Source organism: Homo sapiens, chromosome 3 (assembly GCF_000001405.40).
Source record: "Homo sapiens chromosome 3, GRCh38.p14 Primary Assembly".
NCBI classification, from domain to species: domain Eukaryota; kingdom Metazoa; phylum Chordata; class Mammalia; order Primates; family Hominidae; genus Homo; species Homo sapiens.
Window position 1 is genome coordinate 162,410,997 of NC_000003.12, and position 11,241 is coordinate 162,422,237.

The window sequence follows — 11,241 nt, forward strand, 5'->3', positions numbered from 1 at the left end:
GATTTTATCTAGTTTTGGTCTTTGATGATGGTGATGTACAGATGGGTTTTCGGTGTGGATGTCCTTTCTGTTTGTTAGTTTTCCTTCTAACAGACAGGACCCTCAGCTGCAGGTCTATTGGAATACCCTGCTGTGTGAGGTGTCAGTGTGCCCCTGCTGGAGGGTGCCTCCCAGTTAGGCTGCTCGGGGGTCAGGGGTCAGGGACCCACTTGAGGAGGCAGTCTGCCGGTTCTCAGATCTCCAGCTGCGTGCTGGGAGAACCACTGCTCTCTTCAAAGCTGTCAGACAGGGACATTTAAGTCTGCAGAGGTTACTGCTGTCTTTTTGTTTGTCTGTGCCCTGCCCCCAGAGGTGGAGCCTACAGAGGCAGGCAGGCCTCCTTGAGCTGTGGTGGGCTCCACCCAGTTGGAGCTTCCCTGCTGCTTTGTTTACCTAAGCAAGCCTGGGCAATGGCAGGCGCCCCTCCCCCAGCCTTGCTGCCGCCTTGCAGTTTGATCTCAGACTGCTGTGTTAGCAATCAGCGAGATTCCGTGGGCGTAGGACCCTTCAAGCCAGGTGTGGGATATAGTCTCGTGGTGCGCCGTTTTTTAAGCCGGTCTGAAAAGCGCAATATTCGGGTGGGAGTGACCCGATTTTCCAGGTGTGTCCGTCACCCCTTTCTTTGACTCGGAAAGGGAACTCCCTGACCCCTTGCACTTCCCAGGTGAGGCAATGCCTCGCCCTGCTTCGGCTCGCGCATGGTGCGCGCACCCACTGGCCGGTGCCCACTGTCTGGCACTCCCTACTGAGATGCACCCGGTACCTCAGATGGAAATGCAGAAATCACCCGTCTTGGTCGCTCACGCTGGGAGCTGTAGACCGGAGCTGTTCCTATTCGGCCATCTTGGCTCCTCCCCCGAATGCAAACACTTCTTAACTAATAAGCTACTTTGTTTACATTTTTTGTTTTGCAATCTGATATTATTAAACTGTTTTATCAGTTCTAAGACATTTAAATTTCTTACGGTTTTAAGCATGTCATCTGAAAACAATTATAAGCTCCAACATGTAATGAGCTTTGAAGTCATTACTCCATTCCTTACAGCAAGAAAAAAGGTTAAAAAAGAAAAACTAAAATCAACAGCTATTTTTGAACTCAACAGAGCTGAGTTTGCAGAGCAATCTAGCACCCTGAAGTATGAGAGGACAGATAAATCTAGATAAACACATTGTAGATCTACTGACCTGGAGACGAAGTTGCTGGATTCAGAAATACATGAGTGGTAATTTTGACAAGTTCCTGGAGGCTAAATTAACTGGTGTTAGAGTGAGAAAGAATATTTAAAAACAAATGGTTTATGTAAGCAGAGAGATGGAAACTCTAAGAAAGAGTCAAAATGCAGTGCCAGAAGTCAAAACACTGTAGCAGAAATAAAGGATATCACTGATGGGATCATCAAAAGACTAGTACAGCCCAGAAAAGAATCAGTGAGCTCAAAGATATGTTAACAGAAATTTCCAAAATGTAAATGCAAGACAAAAAAGTAATAAGAACATTAAAACAGAACATAGTATTGATGATCTGTGGGGTAATTATAAAAAGTAACATATCTTAATTGGCAAAAGAGAAGAGAAATAAAGAACAGAATAAAATAATTATTTGAAGTAATAATGGCGGAGAACATTCCAAAATTGACAGATACCAAAAACCAAAAACAAAACCAAGGACAAACAAAACAAAAGAAACAAAAATAAACCTACAAGAAGCTCAGAGAACATTTACCAGAATAATAAAAAATTACACCTAGACATATTATATTCAAACTGAAGAAAACCAAATACAAAGAGAAATATCTTCAAAGGAGCTAGGAAATAAATATACCTTACCCATAGTGGAACAAAGATACAATTGTATCAGACTTCTCATAAACTAGGCAGGCAAGAAGAGTGGAATGGAACACAGAAAGTGATGAAAGAAAAAAAAATCTAGTATCCTTGAATCCAGCAAAATTACCTTTCAAAAGTGAAGGAGAAATAAAGACTTTGTTAGACAAACAAGAACTGAGGGAAATCATCACCAGCAGACATTATTGCCTTGCAGTAAATGTTAAAAGAAGTTCCTCAGGAGGAAAGAAAGTGATATAGATCAGAAACTTGGATATAAATTTAAAAAGAAAGAGTTTTGGAGAAGGAACAGATGAAGGTAAAATTAAATCTTTCATTATTTTTATTCATAATATAAAAGAGAACTGCTTAAGATAATAATAATAATATATTGGGTGATTATAGCACATTAATAAGTGAAATCAATGACAGCAATGTCACGAGAGGGAAGACAGAAATTGAGAATACTCAGTTATAAGATACCTGTACTGTGTACTCATGAAGTGATACAGTATTATTGAGGTAGACTTGAGTAGTTAAAAAGGCATTGTTACAAACTCTAGCTCAACCTTCATATGTTTTAAGATATGTATAGTTAATATGTTATGAGAGAGGATAAAATAGAATCATAAAATTCTTAATTAAAATTAGTGAATTCAGAAAAACAGAAGAAAAAACAGAGTACGATAAATAGAAAACAGTTACAAGCATGATAATAAAGCAACTATATCACTAATTACTTTAAATATGTAAATATGAATGATCAAATTGTACCAAGTAAAGGACAGAGACTGTTAGACTGGATTTAAAAACAAACAAACAAACAAACAAATAAAAAAAAAATCCCAAAGGCCCAATTATATGTTATCTGCAAGAAATCCACTTTAAGAATAGACTCAGATTGGTTAGACGTAAAGGGTCAATATACCATGCTAAGGCAAATCAAAACACAACTAGAATAGTTATATTAATTTAGAAAACAAAATGACTTCAGAGGACTGAAACTTATCAGGAATAAAGAGGGGTTAGTGCTCTCAAAGACATAACAATTATTAATGACTATGCACCTAACAATGTACCATTAGAAATCACACCACTTCAGGCCAGGCGCAGTGGCTCACTCCTGTAATCCTAGCTCTCAGGGAGGCAGAGGCGGGAGGATAGCTTAAGGCCAGGAGTTCGAGACCTGCCTGGGCCATATAGCAAGACTCCGTTCTCCACAAAAGGCGGGGGGGGGAGACCAAAATAATAAAAAAAAAGGAAAAAGAAAGAAATCACGCCACTGCACTCCAGCCTGGGCAAGCGAGCAAGACTTTGTCTCAGAAAGAAAGAAAAAAAAAGAGAAAGAAAGAAAAAGAAATGAAAAGAAAAAATAGCAAGAATTACTTATTATGAAAGTTTCCTTGAATTCAATATAAGAATACAAGAACTTGAAAAACTATCGATATTCTACTAGTAGTTGTAATGGAGCAGAATAAAATTAGACATGACTATGGTTAATAACTAACATTTTATGTCTCAATCAGTATCAATATGCATCCAAATGTCTTGATACTTTTAGTTCCCTCTAGGCAAGGAACTTACCAATTATTTGAAAAATTTCATAACATAAAATACATGAGGGATTGAATGCAAGTTTTTCCATGCACACATCGACATTCATCTATGTGTCACTATGGAGTACTTGTTAAACAAATGCTATTTGGCCTAATGGAATAGATGTTAATATTAACAAAGGGTTGACTTGGACTGGAAAGTCAGGAATGGAAAAAGAGGGATAAAAGACCTTGCATTTTGAAGACAGGGGACTAAAGTAGAAGGATGCGGCCTCAAACTCTCTTGAGTACAATTGACTTGGACATATTTAAACCTCTTAGGACAGTATTTGAGTAATTTTTCAACTTTGATGAGATGACAGTGCAGAGAAAAAGTTTACTTTATCAACATAGAATAATTATTTTTTTTAATTTTAATTTATTTTAAAGAGATGAGGTCTTATTCTGTCAACCAGGCTGGAGTGCAGTGGTGTGATCATAGCTCACTGCAGCCCTCAACTCCTGGGCTCAAGCAATTATCCCACCTCAGCCACCTGAGTAGCTAGGACTACAGACATGTGCCACTATGCTTGGCTAATCTTTTGAAAACTTTTGTGTAAAGTTGGGGTCTCGCTATGCTGCCCAGGCTGGTCTCAAACTCCTGGAGTCAAGCGATCCTCTCACCTTGGCATCTCAAAGCACTGGGATTACAGGCATGAGCCATCATGCCCTGCCAATAATTATTCTTTAAGTCAATTAGTGGTGAACATAACCCCAGTGCTATAATAAGATGTGTTCATATTTTTTTATAAATAAAATGGGAACAAACCTTAGCTTCTAAGAAAAAGAGAGAAAATTATATATTTTCCAAACAAAAATTGCCTCCCCCCAACTGGTTTCCACTTCCAAATTTTTTCATGAATTGAACAAAGATACATTCTATCGAATATTTTTGTTTGGGGGATACTATTATCTCTATTTGATACTTTAAGATTATTACAGAAAGTTTTATCTCTAATTTTCCTAAAAGATACAAGATAAAGAAACTTTTCAGATGTTTCATGTGTTCAGGAATCTGAAAGTAACAAATACATTTTAAATTATTGTATTAAAGCTTTATTATAATACAAAGCTTATTATTATACAAGCTTATAAGCTTTAATATATTATACTATTACAGACTTTTAAATTTATACTTACACAAATAAAGCTGAGAATAGTGAAATATTACTTCATATTTAAAAACTTATTAACTATAAAATGTTTTAGGGAAATAAAAATTTATTTTGTGTTACCTATTTTGGCTTAATAAAGTGAAATAATTTTGAATGTATTTACTGATGCAATCATATTAGAAATTTTAAAAATAAAATATGAATTGTAATGAATATTAATGTTAATTATATCTTATCACCCACTAAATTTTGGTTGATGAACTGAAAGGATATATTTAAATATTGTCTTTCTTGGAGGATTAGAAAGAATGCAGTTGTTGACATTAAATCAGATGCAAATTTAATATCTTAGAATGTATTTTCTAGAGTAGCAGAGTCAGAAATTTGTATTCATGATTACCTATAAGGTTTCTAAAAAAGTAATACACAAAATGTTTTCCCCAGGACAGATACATATTCCTTAAGAATTACAAGTATTAAGAGAATTAAAATAATTACAAGAATTGTGAGTATTACAATTATCCCATACAAACTTCTTACTATTTTGTTAACTGTAACATTAATTTGAAATATATATTTTTCTAATTTTACTATTACAAAATAACTATTAAGTTTATTTTTGAGAGATGAACATTCACTGAAAGTATGAGACATTTTATGTATAAATTGCATACAGTTAATCATCTGCAATCTAGTCTGTAGTTAAAGGACAATTATGAAACATTTCTGAGTGCTAATTTTAACTTTTAAGTACAATCACCAACTTTAGAAATAAGTCAATGTAAGAAATCAGTCAGAAAATGTCTTTTCATTTTTCTGGTTATCAATATTTTTTGCATCATTACTGTGAAAATAATAGTGATTTTAAAAGATATTATTATTGTTATAATAAAAATTCAGATAACATTCACAAGTACTAAATAAGCATGATTTAAATAGACATAATATATTTCAGGATGAAGCTAAATTTAAATGGTAAAGAGATGAATGATTTAAGTATCTCCCAAATATGTCTCTTAGGTTACCTTGTGTGACAAGGAAAATGAAGAAGAGAAAGATAAAGATAAAGAGAAGAAATCCCACATTTGCACACAGAGATTAAAATATTTTAGAATTGTTTGAAGCTTTACTGAGTTTTCCAGATAAAAGTTTACCAAAGAATCTTTGAAATGCTACATAAGTGCTTAGGAAAATAAGATGACTATAGTGACAAATAAATGCAATGAATGCAATAATGAACAAATGAAAGGAAGAACATATATAGAGAGAAGATAAGAAAACAAAACACAGTCTTTTGAGGTATGAGAAAAACATAAGCACATAAATAAACCAAAGAAGTAAAGCTCTCGGGTATTACAATGTTCTAGGATCTGGAAAAACAGAAGATTTTTACAAAGAGCATATGGTGAAACTATAAAAAACTTTGGAAAAGGATGAACAAGGCAACTGGTTTCAAATTTTTGGGATAATGGATGTTTTTAAAAATATATAGATTTCAATAGTTGTGGGGTTAAGGGTATAAAGTAGAATGAAGAAACTGAAGAAACAGAAATGCAGATTATTCCTAAAGGATTGGCAATAAAATAAGAGAGTACATTTAAAGAAAATTATAGCTGAATTAGGAGAGTTTGAACACATTTATAAACATAAATAAATAAATAAATACCAAAAGGAGTAAAAAACAAAAGGAATACTGAAGATCTAACAGAGAAAAGTCATTGTGGAGACAAATGAGAAGACACAAGGGTGGATGAGAACTAAGAGGACAGTACCACTTTCTCCAAAAAAAAAGGTGGAAAGTAGTAGAGAACTTACAGAGTATTTGTACATGGAGAACACTCTTTGCAATAAGAATAGAAACATTCTCATGAGGCTAAAGTAGTAGACAAAAAGTTTTGCCATGAATTAATGGAAGTCAGATGAAATTACCTTGCATTTGTTATAGTTCTTATCTCTGCATTTTGGGAGGATTGTAGTATGCTGGAGGAGATAATAGTGGATTGATTTAACTTAAGAATACTGATATGTACAAGCTAGTGATTCCAGCATTTACTTTTACTCAACATTTTATGTAATGACTCCAGCTGCAACTAGAATGCCACTATACTGCAAATATTTGGTGTCCTCCCACAATCTCCTTTACCTGATTGGGATACTCATTCTCTAGTTGTTGTGAGGGTTGCCTTCTAATGCCCTCCTTCTCTAGAGAATTCCTCTTAGCAAATGGGAGACCCCTTCCCCAGAAGGTTGTATCCCACCTATCCACCAGAGAGTGAGCGCCCCATAACTAACCATCTCGGTGTACAAAAGGGTGGCATCCTTTCCTCAGGGGAAAGGGGCGGGTGCAACTCTGTAGTGCAACTTGTGCTTCAGATCTCTCTAGAGGACCAGGTTGAAGTTAATCTATTCAACTGGGACTACATCCATGCTTAGTTCTCTTTTACTGCCTTATTTGGCTTTTTCAATTTTTGTTTCTCCCTGTCTCTCTGATGACAGCTCCCTGAGCAAATCACTTTTACAAGAATTCTTGCCTCAGATTCGGTTTATAGAAAACCCTAATTGAGGCCAGGCGCAGTGGCTCATGCCTGTAATCCCCCAGCACTTTGTAAGGCCGAGACTGGTGGATCGCCTGAGGTCAGGAATTTGAGACCCGCCTGATCAACGTAGTAAAACCCCGTCTCTACTAAAAGTACAAAAATTACACGGGCATGGTGGCACACGCCTGTAGTCCCTGCTACTCGGGGGGCTGAGGCAGGAGAATTGCTTGAACGTGGGAGACGAAGGTTGCAGTGAGCCCAGATGGCGCCATTGCACTCCAGCCTGGGCAACAGAGGGAGACTACATCTAAAAATAAATAAATAAATAAACAAACAAATAAATACCCTAATTAAAAACGCTTCAGGTGACTTGTAGAGATAAAATTTATAACATTAATTCAATCTGTGTTCTATTCTGATCTTGAACAAGTAGCATAACTTATCTATATCTGCTTTCATTGTTAAGAAAGAGGCTAATTAGTTTTATTTTCAAACATATACCAAATGCAGAGCCATTTATCAATTTGGTGTTTGAAAAAGTAAAATATCCATAATCACCAATGTAATTTAAGCAGATAAATATCAATGAAAGCACCTGAAGAATCTATTCTTTGGTTCCTCATACCTATGCCCCAAGAATTCTTTTGCACATCAAATTGCACTACCCCAAATTTCCTTTTAGAATTCACTCATCCTGTATCTTTACAAATCTCTCTATAGTTAAAGAAAGTGTTAATGAAAAGTAGTAGAAGATTTGAATGATAATGGTGTTTTGTAATCCCATGGTTCATTATAAACAATGACTTTTCAACTATTGCCTTTTTTCTTTGAAAGGCGAGGATATTAGTAATTTCACACTTCTTTCTATATATGCTCTTTATCAGCTTCTGATCTTTGAAAACTACAGTGTAATTTGTATATTATAAGCATCTATTATATTCAATTATATTTTCTAACTTTAATTCTAATCTTTATCACTGTTCTCATATTTAAGTGAACCCAAATCTCACAGTGTTTTTTTTTTCCACATATCTCATTCCTGAGACCTCTTTGCCTTTGTCCTCTCCATAACTGACTGGATAATTATTGTTAACCAATTTTCTTCAAGAAGCACTGGTAGGTATTATCTATCCTAAATTTGTACATATTCAAGGATATTTGGCTATTGGATTCATGTTTTAGTAACATATTATCTACTTACATAACAAAATTTGTTAAAATATATCAAACCTAGGGCAATGTGAAAATTTGAAAATTATAACTTTATGGCTGAATGAATTTGCACAATTTGAGCACTTCTATATAATCATTATCCAGATGAAGAAAAAGATCTTTAACAATCCAGAAGCCCCTCCTACACCCTACAATCAATAACCGTAACTTTCTTTCTGAAGATAAACACAATCGATTTAAAACACTATAGTTTTGCTTATTTTTGAATATTTTAAAACTGGAATCTTATGTCAGGTACTTTTTTGTGTCTATTTTGTTCTCAATATTATGTTTGTGAGATCTTCCCATACTGTTCATACAACAAATTTATTCTTTTTCTTTGCTCTACAGTGTTCCATTGCACGAACATAATATAATTTAGTTAGCCATGCAACTGTCTTTGACTTTGTGTTGTTACCAGTTTGAGCTATTATGAATTGTGCAGCCAGAAATATTTTTGTATATGTCTTTTAGCAAACATGTGTAAACATTTCCATTGAGCAAGAGAAATGTTTGGTCATAGAGTATATGTAATATCCAGCTTTAGTTGATATGACTAAATAGTTTTCAAAATGGTCAAACCAATTTACTCTTACTTACATTGTATCTGAATTCAAAATTTAAAGTCTTTTTATTTTAGCAATTCTTGTAAGAGTACAACGATGTTTAATTCTGTTTTTCATTTGTATTTACCTGATGTCTAATAAAATTTAGAAATCTTTTATATATTTATTGCATATCTTCTGTGAACTGCTCCTTTAGTAGTATTTTTCCCATTTTTAAAATTGTTTTTTTTTGTAATGACTTCTAGGAATTTATTTTTATATTTTCTGGATATAAGTTGTTCTTTAGAAAAATGTACTGCAAATATCTTCTCCTACTGTCTGGCTTGTGTTTTAACTCTCTTAATGATAAAATTTGATGAGAAAAGGCTTAATCTTAAAATTCAATTTAACAATTATTTCCTTAATTGTTTAAACAATTCATATCCTGTTTTAGACACTTTTATCTCCTTTATTATAATGAAGGTATTATATATCCTAGAAGATTTCATTTTACCTTCCACATTTAGAATCTATACCTCTCTGAAAATAACATGTATCATGTTAGGTGTGAGCCAACGTTCTTTCCCTCATAGGAGAAATATAATTCTCCTAAAATTAGTTACTGAAAAGGCCAGTATTTTGATAATTTTGTGAAGTTCTATATTTTGTTATAACTATCTATATATGTATGCACTACTTGATTTTTATTCCATATCATTGGTTTGTGTTTCATTTTGCACAAATATCCCACTGTCTTCATTATATCAAATATCTGATTTTTATACCCATTAGAGTAAATCCTCCAACTTTGCTCTTAAGATTGTCTTGGCTGGGCTTGGTGGATCACGCCTGTATTCCTGCACATTGAGATGCCAAGGAGGTCAAGAGTTCATGACCAGCCTGACCAACATGGTGAAACCCCATCTCTACTAAAAATACAAAAACAAAATTGCCAGGTGTGATGGCACTCACCTGTAATCTCAGCTACTAGGGAGGCTGAGGCAGGAGAATTGCTTGGACCCAGGAGGCAGAGGTTTCAGTGAGGTGAGAACACACCACCGCACTCCAGGCTGGGTGACAGAGCAAGACATCATCTCAATAAATAAATAAATAAATAAAATATGTATATAGAGAGATTGTCCTTGCTATTGTTAGACTTTTGTTCACCATTTATATTTCTCAGTAATAAACTGCAGAATTCTTGCATAAACTTTTATAGACATATTTTAGATAATGCCTTTGATGCTATTGTAAATGCAATACTTAAAATTTTATTTTCTAATTATTTATTGCAAGTTTTTCTTATGATTTCCTCATTATTGTGACTTTCCTTATGTCTGTCTGTATGTATGTACTTGTGTAAAGTACACAAATATGTATTTTCTACAAATCCAATACAGTAATTGATTTTGTTTCCTTCACATTTATCTTATAATTTATTTTGTATTTTGCACAATAATCTACAGTGCAATGCTGAATAAAAGTAGTGAAAAAGGACATCCCTGACTTTTTTAAAAAACATAGCAGAAAACACTTTAGCGTTTTCCCATTAAATGTGCTTGTTTAGAATATTTCTGCATATTTTTCGTCATATTTAGGAAGTTCCCATTCATTAAAATTGGATAAATATCTACATTTAATAATGTTTATTATAATTGAATGTAATTATATTCATCCATTTCTCATGATTAGAAAACTTGCATTCCTGGAATAGTCACATCATAATTGTGTTTTTTATCCTATATGCACATATTATTGGCTCCATTTTGCTACCTTTTTAAGTGGATTATCTCATCATGTTCACAAGACATATTAGCCTTTAATGTTTCCTTGTAATATCCTTGACAGGTATTGGTTTTAAATGTAATCTGGATTAACAAAATTTGAAGAATTATTTTCTCCTTTTGTTAATCTCTGAGAAAACAAATATTTTTAAATATTCCCAGGGAAGCTATCTCAGCATTAAATTAATTTATTAGAATGTACAACTACTTCATGTACTTTTCATAGACTGTATTTGGCAGCTGACTGCAGTGTTCTACATGTGTCAAGTCCAATTTTTCATTTACTTTGTCCAACTATGTTTTGGCAGATTTTTAGCTCTATTTTTCAGTTTTTGAGAATGCTTTATTCAAATTTCTAATATGATGTTGTATTTGTCAATTTTTCCTTTATGTCTGTCATGTTTTAAAATAAATATTTAAACTCTATGTCACTAAGTACATAAAAATTAGGATTTTTATTTACATAGTGGATTGGATATTTTATTATTCCAAGATAACTATCTGAAGTAGTGCTCTTGACTCAAAAATCTTCATGTTCTGACATGAATATAACAGTTTTCTTTTGTCACTGTTTAAATGGTTTACAATTT

General features: G+C 33.7%; 2 annotated features.

Annotated features, from left to right (window-relative positions):
* Positions 36-641: an enhancer, noted in NCBI's record as "NANOG-H3K27ac-H3K4me1 hESC enhancer chr3:162128820-162129425 (GRCh37/hg19 assembly coordinates)". NCBI's record gives its function as "activates a minimal SCP1, AML or CMV promoter by ChIP-STARR-seq in primed H9 embryonic stem cells {active_cell/tissue: H9 hESC(primed)}" and the evidence as "EXISTENCE:reporter gene assay evidence [ECO:0000049][PMID:30033119]".
* Positions 642-1,246: an enhancer, noted in NCBI's record as "NANOG-H3K27ac-H3K4me1 hESC enhancer chr3:162129426-162130030 (GRCh37/hg19 assembly coordinates)". NCBI's record gives its function as "activates a minimal SCP1, AML or CMV promoter by ChIP-STARR-seq in primed H9 embryonic stem cells {active_cell/tissue: H9 hESC(primed)}" and the evidence as "EXISTENCE:reporter gene assay evidence [ECO:0000049][PMID:30033119]".